We start from the raw sequence: 18,443 nt of genomic DNA, 5'->3' as shown, positions 1-18,443 counted from the left end.
CTCAAATGTTTATAACAAGTCAATTTTGTAAGTTGGTTTGTCAGATTCTGTATTTAAGCAGCCTTAAAGAATCTTTATTAGAATCAGTAGCAGATTACATAAATTGGAAAGGCATCCAAACAGGGCAACATCTGGTTTTTATCTACTCTTATGGGGCTCAGAAGTGTTTTCAATAGAAAATAAGATTCTGGTTCCTGGGTCATAAAATAAGCAGCACAATGTGAAAACAAGCAGGCTGGTATGAAAGAAATTGTACGCAACCCATGAAAGAGCTCATACCCTTAAATAAACTTTCAGTTTTAGAATGTGTAAAACAGCCTGTCATCATCTCTATTTGTTTTGCTTTCTTGATATCTCAAACAAGTTAAGCTTCTTGACCTCTTGATTTCCCTTCAAAATTCATACTTGGTAAATTAAAAATGACTTTACTTTCATGTGATTAGTAACAACTTTCATGTTACATGTCTCAATATAGAGAACAGAAGAATACTAATGAAACAAATTTTTTTATAACCAATTACTTTTCTTATTGACTACTTTCCTACGCATTAAAATGTATAGCTAATAGCCTATCAAAATTCAAAATACATATAAACATTGATTCAGCAGTCCCACTGAAAAGAATTTCTCTAAGTTTTTTAAAAAGACCCTAAAGAGGAAACTGCTTAGAAAGTCACAATACCTCAAAATAGATCTGTATGTCTAAGTCAAAGTTTGCAAAAACAATTTCCTATTCAGTTTTAATACCAAATTGATACTCAGGTAAATATAATTTATCCTATAGAAATCCTTTCACTAGCAATCACCTAGGACAGCAGTAGCAAAAAGCAGAGAAGCACTGCCTAAGTGTTTTTCACAAAACACGACTCCTAGGAGAGGCTCCAAGAAAAAGGTTCCATAGCCAAATATGTTGGGAAGGTACCAGGTTTTATTTCCCTCTTTTTTTTTAATATTTTTTTGGGGGGTGGGGCGACAGAGTGTCGCTCCGTTGCCCAGGCTGGAGTGCAGTGGCAAGATCTTGGCTCACTGCAACCTCCACCTCTAGAGTTCAAGTGATTCTCCTGCCTCAGCCCCCAAGTAGCTAGGATTACAGGCATGCACCACCACACCCATCTAATTTTTGTATTTATAGTAGAGACTGGGTTTCACCATGTTGGCCAGGCTGGTCTCAAACTTCTGACCTCAGGTGATCCACCCACCTCAGCCTCCCAAAGTACTGGGATTACAGGCGTGAGCCACAGCGCCCAGCCTATTTCCCTCTTAAAGATTCATAATATGCATGATAATTTATGGAAGACTAAGATAATTATATGCAATATAATTATGGAAGAGATTGGGGAGGGAGAAAAAGTGGTGTTTTCCAAATTTGATAGAATTCAGAACACTTTTTGTAACCATCAAAAACAAGATTTGCTTAAAATCTCCATAACTACCTCGTATATGATCAAGCTACCTTCATTATAAAGCTGAAGGTTCACAGCTACCCTTCCATCACTCTGCATTCCCTCTTTCTCCTCCCTTGCCTTCAGCCCAGGATACTACAGTGATCAAACTTTGTAAGTCATAATAACCACAGAGAACTTCAATAAATATAACTCCTGGTCTTTCCTTCCAGAAATTCGGATTCAGTATAGACATCAGTATTTTTAACAAGCACTCCAGATGATTTTGGTGCAGGTTTCAAATGATGGGATGCTCAAAATACCTGATATATTATAAACAATGTGATGATTAATTATTTTATAACTTGAGGCCAGAGTGACTTTAGAAAGCAATAAGTTCAAAAAGTCCAGCCTTCAAATGACTCTATTAAAAATTTTCTACTCAGAAAAAAAAAAAGAGAAAAGGACAAACTAATGAAAGCCAAATCATATCCTAAAAGAATACCCTTTAATATAATGCTCAGAATTTTACCTAACAGAAAGAATTCTTAGCCTGCACTCCATTGAGAAATTTCAAGAATTCCTGAATTCTCTGAAGCTGTATACACAATTTTTTTTTTTTTTTTTTTTTTTTTTGAGACAGGGTCTCGTTCTGTCACCCAGACTGGAGTGTGGTGGCACGATCAGAGCTTAATGCAACCTCGACCTCCTGGGCTCAAGCAATCCTCCTGCCTCAGCCTCCTGGATAGCTGGGACTACAGGCACACGCCACCACGCCTGGCTAATTTTTTTATGTTTTGTAGAGACGAGGACTCATTATATTGGCCAGCTGGTCTCAAACTCCTTAGCTCAACCAATCCTCCCGCCTTGGCCTCCCAAAGTGCTGGGATTACAGGCCCACACAATTTTTATTAGTATGGGAATACATGCCTTTTGATGGGGAAATAACTCATAGCTTTCAGCAATTCTCTTGCTGCTTAATTATCCAATTTAAGAGCCATTATATTTTTTATTTACCTGAAATGATGGTAGCAGAAACTGAGTCTTAGTTAACACCGTGAGTCAGACACACAAAAACACATTCCTCAATGTTGTTTTCTCTTTCAGGGACAAACAAAAAGCAACTTACCTTTGCAGAGTCATATTCAAAGAGCCTGTACAACCCTTAATCTTATTCTGGGCTTCAAGATGAGTCATTCCTTGTGCATTTATTCCATCAATGCTGAGAACCACATCGCCTATTCTTACATTTGCCTGGGCTGCCTTGCCGCCATCTTTTAGCTGTAATAAATATATTTCATTAGGAGTGTCACTCTTTGAAAAAGAATAATAAATGCTGATAAAAATTATACTTTTGCTTATACCAAAAGTATATTAATATACTATTGAAGTAACATAAAACTGTCTTGTTTAACATGTACAGAATTTTAGCATGTAAAGATAAAATTCAAATGATTTAAATGTTTATTTTCTTAAATTCTTATTTGCTCTATAAAAAAAAACTGAATTTTCTGAGAAAGATTCCCTGATCATTTCTCCATTTCTTTATTGTGCAACAGTAGTTGTGTGATTTTTATGAATCAGGAAGAGAAGCAGCCAAGGAAACTTCACATTTTAGCAGAATAAAAAGAATGCAATCTGAATGGGGTTTTTATACTCTTTTAGAAATAATTTTTTAAAACTCTTTTAACAGCTGTATTTTTGTTTGAGCACAAAGAGGAACAGAGAGGGAAGATCTGCTAAACAATCCTTCCTGTTGAGTCCAGTTCATATCCAGGGTTTGGGGATTGAATTCTTTCAGATTCCAAGCCCAAATATCTTTTATACTGGGTGTGCTTCCTGCTCTAGGCATTTGCAGAAGGGAAACTCTTTATATCTGAGACAACCCAACTTTTTTGTGCATGTCACAGTCCTTAATCCTTAGTCTTTCTTCCCCTGCTCAATAAAATCTTCTATGTGTTTACATTATTTAGTCTGATCTCCTTCAAATTTCGTGTGTATATATTTCATTGCCCCAAAAGAAGCAGATATATTATACTAAGTGACAGTGAACTTTTCATAGATATCTAGAAATATGAAACAAGTACAAATTAAAGAAACCATTCAAATTCATATGACAGCTCAGCATTCAGTAAGTATAAGTAGATCACACTGAATACTGAGTTGCTGGAAGATGGGAGAGACTAGGCCCGAAAAAGCAAGTAAATAACCAGTATTTCTCTAGTACTTGAAACTAAAATCTTATACAGAGTTTCTGTTTGTGATGATGAAAAAGTTCTAGAACTAGGTAAGTCAGAAGGTCGCACAACACCGTGACTATATTCAGTGAATGCAACTGAATTATACATTTTAAAATGATAAACTACTTTGGGAGGCCGAGACAGGCAGATCACTTGAGGTGAGAAGTTTGAGACCAGCCTGGCCAACATGGTGAAACCCCATCTCTACCAAAAATACAAAAATCAGCCGGGCGTGGTGGTGCATGCCTGTAATCCCAGCTACTCGGGAGGCTGAGACAGGAGAATTGCTTGAACCCGGGAGGCAGAGGTTGCAGTGAGCTGAGATCGTGCAACTGCACTCCAGCTTGGGCAACAGAGCAAGACTCCATCCCCTCAAAAAATAAAAAATAAAATGATAAACATGGTTAACTTTTATGTTATGTTTATTTTATCACAGTTTAAAAAAAAACCTAATGATTTTAGAAAACATTTAAAGAAAACAGTTCTGAAAGCGAGTGAGCTATACGCCACTTTCTCTGGGACTTCGGGAAGGTCGTTCCACTTATGCTATCAGGTTATCACGATTACACATAGATAATATAGTTGAATAAATGTTAGCTATTACTGTATTATTATTCCCTTGACCTCAGATTACTGATCTGAGAAATGCAGGGCCTGCACTAGACGATCTCAGAGGCCTTCTAAGGTCCCTGCCAGTTTTAAAAGTTTATCTGTGAACTGCCACCTATACAAAGTTACATGTTTAATCCTAAAATAAAAGTCAAATCTGGAAGACTTCTGTGAGACAAAGGGACATCTATTCCCTACTAAAATCAGCAAATGAAATAAAATTTGACATCTTTGTAATGAGAGAAAGTAAACATAAGTCATCCTAGATTTTATTTTAGCAAAGAAGGGCAGGCATTAAACAAAAAATTAACTAGAAATAGAATGCAGTTAAATTACCTCACCATCCTCACATAAAGTAGTCTGAAAACAGAAACACTGAAATCTATGGGCATTTGTTCTAAGTGTACCCAACAGAAGCAACTTAAATACTCCTAGTTCAGTAGTAATATAAAGGTAATGAACATCGTAGAAAGAAAATAATGGAATCAAAGACAATGTCATAACCAGATAACTTTTCTTATTCTGCTCCCTTTACATACTAGATCTCTTGAGAGGCTATCATCTCAAGACGTTCAAAATCAATTTCTTAGAATTACCTTTCTTTCTAGGACCACGTTTATTCTGTCACCCTTATTTTCAGATCATGGAGCACAGGAATCCTATAGCCACATGGATTCTGCCTCTTCCTTAAGTACCACATCTAGGAAAATTACTAAATGTAACAATGTAAATGTGATCTGTCCATCCTTCCATTCCTCTCCTATGACAGTCCAAGTCTTGATCATCTTTCACATTGCTCTTGCCTATAGCCTACTTGCCTTCCACTAGAGTTTTCTACAGACCTTTCCTACCTTCACATTCTCCATATTTGTCTCCTTTTCTTCCATCTTAACATTCCCGAATGGTGGCCCCATTACCTCTCGCACTGGAAAGTTCTAATCATATCAACTCCCTATTTATAAAATGAGAGTAGAAAAATTGCAAATGTCTTCTGCTTCCTACAATGTAGAGAAAATACAAGCCATCTATAATTTGTCACCAATCTGTTTCCAGCTTCAAAACAAGCTCCATAAGGTCAGGGATCATGTTTTATAATTTGCTCTTCTCCAAGAGCCTTGAATATTGTAGGTTTTCTAAAACTTTCACAACTTCCCTTGGCAACTTTGTATAACAATTATTAGGAAGAACTTAACTGTACTGAATCTTAATTCTTTCTCAATCAATTAGCACAAATGGAAACAAATGCCCATCAACATCTGAACAATCTTTCATATATTTAAAATGCCATACAAACTCCTTTTTGTTTACAGTTTTTCAGCCTGGTAATATTAATCATCTTGAGTTTTCCACACTGATGTCTTTTTGGAATCTCTAACCATTTTCATTATTCTCTACCCAGGCTTCCTACTCATAAGATGTAAACTTAAGGGCATGATCAGCTTGAACCAATGCTATACATAGTGGGAAATGCCCAATACACAGAAAAACAAATTTAGGACTTGTAAAAAGGAGCACTTAACTAAATACTCCTATGAGCTTCATTTATCTCCAGAACCACTTCCTCAATCTGTTCACTCATTAGAAAGATAAACGTTACTTTTCTCTTAATTGGGTAGGATGTAGCATTATGAATCTAAGCAGCCAAGGAAAGACTACAAAGTCATTCATCATTTGCATAGCTCTTTTTTTGATTTGTTTGTTTCACTGTTTTTCAGGTCTGAATAGCTTGCATTTGTTTAAAGCAGTAGTTTACTATCTGTCATCAGTATATCTTGTACACGGCAGCCATAAGTGTGTATGTATTTCATAAAAGCACAGTGTAGGAAGGAAGCAGTTGTGGGAGGCTCCTGGGTCGAGCTCAGCATAAATCAAACTAATCACAAGCAAATGCTTCCTTTTTGATCTTTAAATGCATTTTTCAGTACTGCTATCCAATTTTCCACAGACTTTAATTGTAGCTGAGTGCTTCTTCAAAAACATTACTTTGTGGTCTCACCTCAGTTGCAAGCACACATGGCTGTACATGTTGGAACTGCCTCTGAGTTCAGGTCTGTTCACTGATGCTGAAATGAAGGAAAACCAGAAAACTGTATGCTCCTGAAGAGAGTGTTATCTTTACCAAGCCTCCCCATTAACTTCAGTACGAAAGGATCTAATATCAGTTATCTGTACTTAGATTAAAACTCATCCCTAGGAACAGCTGCATTTTAACCCTTTTATCTGTAATCATGGATGACAAGAAGTCTTCTCTTGAAAAGGAAGTCCAGTCTTCAGCAAGCAGATAGGAAAGACTGTGGGAATTTGGGAGAGAATGTAAAAGAAAATGGAATCAGATCCTTGAGCTTGCCCATCTTACTTTACTAGGAAAGACCCAAAGATAAATTTTTTTTCAGTCATTTTAGGAAGGTAGCTCCTCTCATATAGTGTTTTACTGTCCTAAGAAAGAAACAACCCAGAAAAAGTAATTAGTACTATAATCTACCAAGCATGAACAGTAAATCGGGGACTTTGGAGGATGCTTCATCATTCCTCTGTTTTGTAAGGTAGTTGTCTGTTTTACAGATGGGAAAACAGAGCTTCAACGTGATTAAATAACTTGTCTATGTCCATACAACAATAAGACTACAATACTGAGCACAGGCTTTGAAGTCAGGCAAATATGAGTTTATATTCATGTTCTGCCATTTGCTGGTTGTGTGACCCGAATTTACTTGACCTCTCTAAGTCCCAGCTTCCACTCTTTGAAAATGAGGACTATAATTCCACCTGCCTCACAGAGCTGCTGGGCAGGTTAAATAAAACACCAGGACAGCACATACCACAAAATGCACCGGAAATGCTCAATATTATTGTTTATTCTTACACAATGTCACAAATTCACATAGGCAGGAAGCCTACTTCAAGGTCATACAGGGCAGAGAAGACAGCGTTTCAAACTGACCGGTCAGACCTCCTTCTGGCTTTTCACTTCCTTCCTTAAACTTCCTTCTGCTTCTCTAAGCCTAACTTTCCCCTCACTCAGCAACAGAGATGAATATGCCACACATTCAGAACGTAATTCACTGCATCCTCCTTCCCTGCTTACTACTATCCAATTATGAGTTTCCCAAAATCGATTCCTAAAGAATGGTGGCCTCTTGTCACTTCTCAGGACAGTTAGGTGTTGCCACTGTACCAAAAGGCCAAAGGATAAGAAGCAATAAAGCGATGTTGGTGAAGAAGCCTTGAGCTGGAGGCCAGAGAAGGACAGGAATAAAAGAAAAAAAGAGAACAGGGAAACAAAGAAGAGTACCGGTATAGAAGGCAGAGGAGGGAACCAAGACCATGAGGAAACAAAGATGTCCCCGGTGTTGGAAAGTGAGATCCAGGCTTTATCTCTAGGTGTGATATACATCCAAGTACATATGCACAAAATAATATCTAAACAGAACAGAACATCAAAATAATGATTAATTATAGAAAAGAGAAGATTCTATGTTTTGATTTGCATTTAAAATAATATACATGAACATAATTAGTAACTATAATTTCGAGTAAATTTTCTCACAGTAATACTTGCGTGCCTTTAAACATGTCATTAATTTATTGTTCTCAAATAAAATTTATAACTAAAATTACCCAAAATGCTTAGCCTCCACATACAATGTTCCAGCATTTGTTCCTAATCATTTTAACAATAAGAGAAAAAGTAGTACTGTGTCTTTATAAAATTACACTGAAAATAAAATATTAATATCTCAAGACAGCAGAACACTTAGACAAGGAACTCAAATGTGCACTAAATGGAAAACTTATCCACAAACAAGTATGTTATTTAGGATTTATAAGGAGTTGGATATACCTGCTACACTAAGCCTTCCCCTTAGCTATTACCTCTTGAGAGCACTTCTATCACAAACAAACCAATAGAGCTTTCATTTTTAAAAATTATAACCCATTATGGCAGATATCATTTTAAATAAGTCTAACCATCTAAGATTTCTCTTGAATATGATCATTCAATATAGCTCCTACATGCCCTAAGCTTTTCCATAAAAAGGCACGATGTTTAATCGCAACAGTGACTCCAATGTCTTAGAATTGTCTATATATGAAATTTATCCTTCTAAATTGCAGGAAATACTCAAAATGTACACAATAACCTCTATTTGCGTTTCCTTGGAAATAAGCCAGCAGTTGCCAAACTAAGAAAATAGGCATCAGCAATAGAAATGATTTATAATATGGACAGGTAACACCATTTTAATAGTCAGATGTTTACTAAATAGAACAATTTATGCTGATTCAAAAGAAATTTACTTTGGTGATTATCCTATAATGTACTACAGGCAACAAGTAGGAGACGTGTACCTATATAAAGAGCCACTACCAAAGGGCAAGTTTCAATCTTCTGCATATTTTCAACAAATATGGAATGCTTGGAAACACATGACCCTAACACTATGGGTATGGCAGGAATGCCATCAGATATAGTAAATGTAAAAAAGGAACATATAAACATGAGGGCTACAGAAAGAAACACTAACAGAAATTTCCCATGTCCAAAAACCCTGGGAACCAAACCATGGGAAAATGGAAGCTGTTGTTTTTCTGACAGTGCTGTTACCAAAATTTGAAGAATTATGCTAATAAAATTATATCAGTCTGACAAACAAGACTTTCTTGAGGCAGAAAAAGCACTGAGAAAGTGTTATTTTTCTTAAAATCTAATTAATGAGCAATCTTGAATTTTGTTTTAAAATATATTTTCCAGTACCTGCTGTCAAATAAAAAATTTGAATCTGGACATATAAGACTATGGTTGACAGTTTCTAGTTATCTCTCTCCCACATATTTCCCAGGATACCATAAACGTGACTATGTGACTTTTTGCGTCACCACCCCCTTGCAAAACACCTACATAAGAATGTGTGAGCATTACACCTATGACAGAGAACTTTCACAGAACTTGCTTTCCTGCCAACAATAGGTACTACTCAACCCACTCAACAACACAAATAAATAAAATCCCGGTGAAGTTTTTACGAGCAACTGAGGGACTAGTAAAGTGAGCAGAAGTAAAGAAAATGTGTGATGTGATGTCCCCCCCGCATATATGCATTAAAGCTTTTTTCAAATCCTAATTGGTTTATTATCATCCTAGTGCTTATTAATCTACCTTATAATATCACACTTCAGCATTTAACATTGTTCTGTCCTGCACTACTTGTTGTTATATAATGTTGGCACTTTGAGCAGTCTACAAATGCTATTCAACTACATTTAAAATGTCAATCTCTGGTTTATGTGTCTAATGTAAACATCCCTCTTAAAATCTAAGGCTGGGGTGGGCACAGTGGTTCATGCCTGTAATACTAGCACTTTGGGAGACTGAGGTGGGAGGATCGCTTGAGCCCAGGAGTTTGAGACCAGCCTGGGCAGCATAGTGAGACCCTATCTCTACAAAAAATTAAAAAATTTGGATGGGCATGGTGTGTGCCATCTGGGACCTGTGGTCCCAGCTACTCAGGAGGCTGAGGCAGGAGGACGACCTGAGCCCAGGAGATCGAGGCTGCAGTGAGCCATGATTGCACTACCATACTCCAGCCTGGGTAACAAGTGAGACCTCATACCAACTAAAAAAGAGAGAGAGAGAGAGAGAGAGAGACTGCTTTGGATTTATTACCTTTTTCTGTGAAATAAAATGATAAGGCTTTTTGTAGGTTAGAATGGTAGGGAAATAAAACAAGCAATCACCGATGTCTCTCTGTGAGCAAATGTGTAATCCTGACTCATATGAGCAGTACTTACTTTAACAGTGGGCCTTATTTTGGTTATGCCAATTTTACTCAAAAGTTAGAGAATACACCTTATATGGTAGCAATGAGGAGAATACCTCAAAGTACGTGTCATCCTCCCTTATAAAAGCAAACAGAAGAGGACAATTATGTCTCTTTTCCTTATGTAGCCATGGAGCTATCTAGTTCAAACACAGGGCTTTTGCTGATACAGCACGGTCTGTTCTAGTAGTCTAAGTTTATTTCCTATGATGAGCCCTTATTTAGTAAAACAGCATCTTACTCTACTCTACCAAAGTCCTAATAAATAGAAACATGTCTTCATCAACTGTGATTTACTATTGAGATGCCTCATTAACACTTCTGACTTATAGCTAATCTACATATGTCTAAATCCAAAGTGTTAATGTGTGAATATCCTACTAGAAATGTGAAAGTATGATAGTCTGTAAAAAGAACACATCCACAAACATCTGAAAATCAAACAAATTTGTTAATTACAGAGAAATCAGTGTTTCTATATAGCCTACTCTGGAATAGTGAGAGAAATGATAGGAAATGTCACAAATAATTATAAAGACTAAAAGCAAATTAGTCAAATCTAGCATACCTGGGAATGGATTAACAATGATAATCATACATTTCAACCCTCCCTCAATGATGAGACAAATCTTCTGAAATTGTATGCAAATTCTGTGCAAGCATGCATGTATATTCCATTGAGTGGGACCACGACTTTTCACAAATCCTCAAAGGCGTCTATAACCAAAAAAATTATAGGAACTTACGATTTAATGAAATGTGAGAACAGAGTTTCTCTAAGTGTGGTTGGTAAACACCAGGCCAGCATACTTCTACGACAGGAGGAAAAATCACAGGCCTTTCAAAACCCACAAGCTAAAGATATTTCAAAACAAAAAGCTCAAGAAAATTTAAGAACTTTTAAAACAGAATGCTTATTCCAAATAGTGCAAAATCATGATTTCACATGCTAAGGTAAGTATAGCTTATAAAAACAGGGATTCGCTTTTTAAAAACCTTAATAATCTTCAAAATGTTAATCATTAACATTTAATAAGGCCCTATTCCCATAAGGCATTACCTTCAATTCTAAGAAAAGATATTAAAGAAGAGGCAAGGCTCTTTCTCTCATCTACTGTTTTATACTATTCCACTTTTCACATGTGTACCCAACTCTCCATAATACAATGCTCCTCAAACTAACTGTATCTTATATTTCTATTTAGGGCTATCATACACAGACGTAAACACAAAACACAATAAACATCTGATGAACTGCCACACTGCAAATCAAAGGTATTTAGTCAACAGGCTACTATTTAGTCTTTTAAGTTACTTCCTAATTTTTTTGTTGTTATACATAAAGTGATGAATAATATTATACTTCTATTTTGGCATATGTATCTTTTCTTTAGAAATTCTTTCTTAAAAAGTATGCACATTTAAAAATAAAATCAGAAATTAAAAAGGAGACTAAATTACTACTGATACTGCAGAAATCCAAAGGATCATTAGTGGCTACTATGAGCAACTGTATGCCAATAAATTGGAAAATCTAGAAGAAGGGACAAATTCCTAGACACATATAACTTACCAAGACTGAACCAGGAAGAAATCCAAAACCTGAACAGACCAATAGTAAGTAATGAGACCAAAGCCGTAACAGAAAGTCTCCCAGTAAAGAAAAGCCTTGGACCCAATGGCTTCATTGCTGAAGTCTACCAAACATCTGAAGAACTAATACAATCCTACTTAAACTGTTCTGAAAAGTAAAAAAGAAGGGAATATTTTCAAATTCATTATATGAGGCCAGTATTACCCTGATTCCAAAACCAGACAAAGACACATCAGAAAAAGAAAACTGCAGGCCAATATCTCTAATGAACATTGATGCAAAAATCCTCCAGAAAATACTGCAAACCGAGGCCAGGCGAAGTGGCTCACGCCTGTAATCCCAGCACTTTGGGAGGCCAAGGTGGGCAGATCACAAGGTCAGGAGATTGAGACCATCCTGGCTAACATGGTGAAACCCCGCCTCTACTAAAAATACAAAAAATTAGCTGGGCGTGATGGTGGGCACCTGTAGTCCCAGCTACTTGGGAGGCTGAGAGAGGAGAATGGCATGAACCCAGGAGGCAGAGCTTGCAGTGAGCCCAGATTGCGCCACTGCACTCCAGCCTTGGCGACCACGTAAGACTCCGTCTCAAAAAAAAAAAAAAAAAAAGAAAATACTAGCAAACCGAATTCAACAATACATTAGAAAGATCATTCACCATGACCAAGTGGGATTTATCCCTGGGATGCAAGGATGGTTAAACAAATGTAAATTAATCAGTGTGATACATCATATCAACAAGATGAAGGACAAAAACCATATGATCATTTCAATTGATGCTGAAAAAGCATTTGATAAAATCAACATCCCTACATGATATAAACCCTCAAAAAACTGGGAATAGAGGAACATACCACAACATAATAAAAGCCATATATGACAGACCCACAGCTAGTATCATACTGAATGGGGAAAAACTGAAAACCTTTCCTCTAAAATCTGCAACATGACAAGAATGGCCATTTTCATCACTCTTACTCAACACAGTACTGGAAGTCCTAGCTAGAACAATCAAACAAACAAACAAAAAAGATACAACGTTCCAAACTGGAGAGGAAGAAGTCAAATTATCCTTATTTGCAGATGATATGATCTTATATTTGGAAAAACCTGAAGAATACACACACGCACACAAACCATTTAGAACTAATAAACAAATTCAGTAAAGTTGCAGGATACAAAGTCAACACACAAAAATCAGTAGCATTTCTATATGCCAAAAATGAACAATTCAAAAAAGTAATCCCATTTACAACAGCCACAAATTAAATTAAGTACCTCAGAATTAACTTATCCAAAGAAGATCTCTACAATGAAAACTATAAAATGCTGATGAAAGAAATGGAAGAGGACAGGAACAAATGGAAAGATATTCCATGTTCATGGATTGAAAGAATCAATATTGTTAAAATGTCCATACTGCCCAAAGCAATCTATAAATTCAATGGAATCTCTATCAAAATACCAATGACATTCTTCACAGAAACAGAAAAAGCAATCCTAAAATTTACGTGGAAACATAAAAGACCCAGAATAGCCAAAGCTATCCTTAGCACAAAGAACAAAACTGGAGGAATCACATTACCTTATTTCAAATTACACTACAGGGTTATATTAACCAAAACAGCATGGTACTGATAAAAACAGAAATATAAACCAATGAACAGAATAGAGAATCCGGAAACAAATCCACATACCTGCAAGAAACTCATTTTCAACAGAAGTGCCAAGACCATACACTGGGAAAAAGACAGTCTCTTTAATAAATGGTGCTGGGAAAACTGAACATCCATATGCAGAAGAATGAAATTAGACGTCTATCTCTCATCATATACAAAAATCAAACTAAAATGGATTAAAGACTTAACTCAAACACCTCAAACTATGAAACTATTACAAGAAAACACTGGAGAAACTCTCCAGGACATTGGTCTGGGCAAAAATTTCTTCGGCAATACCCTACTAGCATAGGCATCCAAAGCAAAAAAATGGACAAATGGGACACATCAACTTTAAAAGCTTCTACACAACAAAGAAAACCATCAACAAAGAGACAAAACACAGAATAGGAGAAAAAAATTGCAAACTACCCATCTGACAAACAACGCTATGAAAAAAAAAATCTAATAATCCAATAAAAAAATTGGCAAAAGATTTGAATAGACATTTCTCAAAAGACGTACAAATGGCAAGCAGGCATATGAAAAGGTGCTCAACACTGATCATCAGAGAAATGCAAATCAAAACTATGAGATATCATCTCATCCCAATTAAGATTGCTTTCTTCCAAAATACAGGCAATAACAAATGCTGGCAAGGATTTGGAGAAAAGGGAACCCTTGTACACTGTTGGTGGGAACGTAAATTAGTACAACACTATGGAGAACAGTTTGAAGGCTCCTCAACATTAAAAATACAGCTACTGGCCAGGCACAGTGGCTCATGCCTGTAATCCCAGAACTTTGGGAGGCTGAGGCGGGCGGATCATGAGGTCAGGAGATTGAGACCATCCGGGCCAACATGGTGAAACCCCGTCTCTACTAAAATTACAAAAATTAGCCGGGTGTGGTGGGGCATGCCAGTAGTCCCAGCTACTCAGGAGGCTGAGGCAGGAGAATCGCTTGAACCTGGGAGGTGGACGTTGCAGTGAGCCGAGATCGCACCACTGCACTCCAGCCTAGGTGACACAACAAGACTACATCTTAAAAAAAAAAAAATAGAGCCACTGTATGATCCAGCAATCCCACTGCTGGGTATATACTCAAAAGACAGGAAGTCAGTATATTGAAGAGATATCTACACTTTCATGTTTGTTGCAGCAGTGTTCACAACAGCCAAGATTTGGAGGCAACCTAAGTGTCCATCAACAGATGAATGGACAAAGAAAATGTGATACATATACACACTGGAGTACTATTCAGCCATAAAAAGGAATGAGATCCTGTCATTTGCAACCACATGAATGGAAGTGGAGATCATTATGTTAAGTATAAAAAGCCAGGCACAGAAAGATAAGCATATTTTCACTTATCTGCGGGACCAAAAAAGCCAAAATAATTGAATTCATTGACACAGAGAGTAGAAGGATGGTTACCAGAGGCTGGGAAATGTAGTGGAGGGGTGTGTGTGTGTGTGTGTGTGTGTTGGGGGGGATGTCTGATGAGTAAAAAATATTTAAAAGGAATGTATGAGACTTACTACTTGATAGTACAACAGGGTGACTATAGTCAATAATAACTTAATTGTACATTTTAAAATAAGAGTGTTATTGGATTGTTTGTAACACAAAGGATAAATGCTTCAGGGGATGGAGACCCGATTCTCCACGATGTGATTATTATGCATTGCATGCCTGTACGAAAACATCTCAGGTACCCGATAAATATATACACCTACCATGTACCCACAAAAATTAAAAATAAAAAAAAATAATAAAAAGGTATGCACACTAAAATTTCTGTTCTATGATACTAGGTTGCTAGCCAGAATATTTGTGGCCATTTATAATTCCACAAACTATGTATGAAAGTGCCTGACAGCCCATGCCCTTGCAACCCTTAGTAGTATAAAGGAAACCTGAGGCCAATTCTAGCACTATTACCACTAACAAATGTTGTGACTTTGGGCAAGCCAATTATATCTCTGGCCTCATTCCGCTTAGCTGTACAAGATGGTTAGATCAAATGTTTCTAGGGTTCTTTTCAATTCTAAGAGGTGATAAATATTTACATAGACTTTACAATTTTTCATTAGTCTAAACAGTTATTAACACTAATACTCATTTTTCATGTGGGCAACAAATTTGTATTCTTCTCCAGTTGCTACATACGTATTATTTTTATTTCCTTATTTTATTTTATTTGTACTATCATGCCCAGTTAATTTTTGTATTTTTTTAGTAGAGATGGGGTTTCACCATGTTGGCCAGGCTGGTCTCGAATTCCTGACCTCAAGTGATCCGCCTGCCTCAGTCTCCCAAAGTGCTAGGATTACAGGTGTGAGCCACTGTGGCCAGCCTATTTTCCTGTTTTAAAATATTAAAATAACTGAGAGAATTCTTGAGATTAGCATTAAGTGGTTAAAATCAGCTCTGGGTCTAAGATGAAAAAGACGAGATCATTGCAAAACTGATTAAAACAGCAACAAAATTAGGACTATCAGATGAACAATAATCAAAGTTAAACATACAGAAGTAAAACTGAAAATTACTAAAAGGTCTGCGTTTTCGTATAATAATCTAATACACAGCAACAGGAAAAAGGGGCATGGTAAACTGTTTCAAGCAGACATCACTAAGAATGCAGATTGGGGAACCATTCCAAACACATGAAGACAGACAAAAAAAATCTAGGATGTCATCAAAGAATTTATTTGGAAAAAAACATGGTGTGCAAATATTTACACAGATCTTCCAAATAATTTCCTCTTGTCTTATCCAGCAAACATGGGTATTTCTCAAAAACCTAAAACCACATCACCAATAGAAACCCAAAAACTGGAGTGGAAAACTCCAGAGAAAACTAGGAGTGGGAATAATCTACCTTTTCTACTTTTTCAGACCTTAAATTGTTGTTTCTTTAGAAAGAATTCATCTAAAGAACAAGAATCTTCTTTCCACTGGTAACAGTTGAGCCCCCTGACATTTAATACTGAACTATGCATTTATTCATTTACTATACGTTTACTGAGTGATTACATAAGTGCCAGATGCTGATGACTGTAAGAATGAACTATTAAACTAGTGGGGTGTGATGGTTGATACTGCGTGGCAACTTGATTGGATTGAAGGATACAAAGTATTGATCCCGGGTGTGTCTGTGAGGGTGTTGACAAAGGAGATTAACATTTGAGTCAGTGGGCTGGGAAAGGCAGACCCAGCCTTAATCTAGGTGGGCACCATCTAATCAGCTGCCAACATGGCTAGAATATAAAGCAGACAGAAAAATGTGAAAAGAGAGACTGGCCTAGCCTCCCAGCCTACATCTTTCTCCCGTGCTGCATTCTTCTTGCCCTCAAACATCGGACTCCAAGTTCTTCAGTTTTGGGACTCAGAGTGGCTCTCCTTGCTCCTCAGCTTGCAGACAGCCTATTGTGGGACCTTGTGATCACGTGAGTTAATACTTAATAAACTCACCTTTACATATATATTCCATTAGTTCTGTCCCTCTAGAGAACCCTAATACATGGAGAAATAAAATATTCATTCATTCTATCATTCAACAAATACTTGCTAAGTATCTACTAAGTGCTAGGCTGTTGTAGGCATGGCATCATATGGCAATGAACAAAATGAGGTCCTTGCATTCATGCAACTTAAATTCAGTAGGGGGAAAGAGAAAATCAACAAATAAACATAAATATGTAATAAAATGTCTGGAAGTAAAAGATGTACTACAAAAGAAAAATAGAGCAGAGAAAGGGTACTGAAAATGCCAAGAAATGCTATTTTAAGTTTGGGTAGTCAGGGAAGACTTCTGGCAGGGGTGACATTTGAACAGAGACCAGAGACCAAAACAAAGTAAAGGAGAGAGCAAGCAGATATCCAGAGACAAGGCATTCCAGGCAGAGGGACAAGCAAAGAGAAAAGATAATCTGGGCCATTATGATATAATGATGAAATGTATACAAGCTATCAATAACACAAAGACTGGAACAACTAATACACTTTGGAGGCATGAAGACAGTTTCTCAAGAGATGATGACAACTGCTTTGAGTAATAAAACATGGTTTGGAATTTGCAGAAACAAAAAAAGGAAAGAAGTATGTACTGCAAGCAAAAACAAAAAACATGTGAAAGACACGATGATATGAAAACACTACCATTTCCAAGGAATGGCAGGCAATTAAAGGTGTCTACAGCATAGGGAGAAAGTAACAAGAAAACTGAGAGTCAAGGATAGCAAGGCTGCCAAAAGTCATATTAGGTTGGTGCAAAAGTAATCACAGTTTTTGCCATTGAAAGTAATGATAAAGAGCACAGTATAGGATGATAAATAACTTCTGAACAATCTAAGTTTACAGTCTGCTTCCATATCAACTAGTGTGATTTTATTCTTTATAACAGATTGTATATATTATGTGCTATTACTCCTGGATGCCAGATTGTTTCCAAGAAATCCATGCTTGCCAACTCCTGGTTCCTCCTATCAGTGCATTTTCTACTAAGTATGTTCTCCTATCCCTTAGAGAAGATGAGAAAGTCTTCAGCCCATTCCAGCCCCAGGACGTATGGCAACAGACTCCTTTATACAGCTGTAGCCTTTCAAAACCAAGGCCCATCAACACTTGACCCAAGGAGCCAAGTTTCTGACCTCCAAGGGAGCCTTTTCCTTCCAGCTCTTTGTTTAGGTTAGAACTTCCACCAATACCACTTAATAAGTTTCCTGTACCTTTTTTCACAATCCTAAGTTTATTTATTTATTTTTTGCCCAATAAGCCAGCCTACACAGTTGGCTTTTATCAAGACAGCACCAAATGTTAGTAGATCACTTCTAGCTCTCTGGTCTCTCGTCACACAGCATTGATTTAACTCTAGCTGTTTTACTTCCCCTACAGAAATCAAATGCACAATCACAAAAAACAGCTAGAAATGGAAAGGAAATGTTCTTATGTCAGTGCCTCTTTTTTTCTTTTTCTTTTTTAAAACTAAGAGTAAAATAAACTGAAGCAACACTGAAGATTCTTGTTCTACTGCAGTGGTGGACCATGTGTTCCTGTGCTCTGGGTAATGCTGAGATTGGCAGAGGGCAGGGTGCTGACAGCAGTTAGGGAAAAATCTATTAAGCAATGTCACTGTTC

At 36.9% G+C, this 18,443-nt stretch overlaps 1 protein-coding gene across 8 annotated transcripts in view; it reads right to left on the bottom strand.

The window, feature by feature from the left end:
- The window catches only part of PDLIM5 (PDZ and LIM domain 5), a 216,282-nt gene that overhangs the window by 141,837 nt on the left and 56,002 nt on the right, over nt 1-18,443 (bottom strand). For 7 of the 8 annotated variants that reach the window (NM_006457.5, NM_001256426.2, NM_001256427.2 and 4 more), the window contains exon 3: nt 2,512-2,663. The exons of the other annotated variant lie outside the window; for it this stretch is intronic. In NM_006457.5, the coding sequence (NP_006448.5) occupies nt 2,512-2,663 (152 nt within the window). The remainder of the gene's footprint in view (nt 1-2,511; nt 2,664-18,443) is intronic. 8 annotated transcript variants of the gene reach the window in all.

Source organism: Homo sapiens, chromosome 4 (genome assembly GCF_000001405.40).
Source record: "Homo sapiens chromosome 4, GRCh38.p14 Primary Assembly".
In the NCBI taxonomy this organism is placed as follows: Eukaryota; Metazoa; Chordata; class Mammalia; order Primates; family Hominidae; genus Homo; species Homo sapiens.
This window is presented reverse-complemented; position numbering and strand designations above follow the sequence as displayed.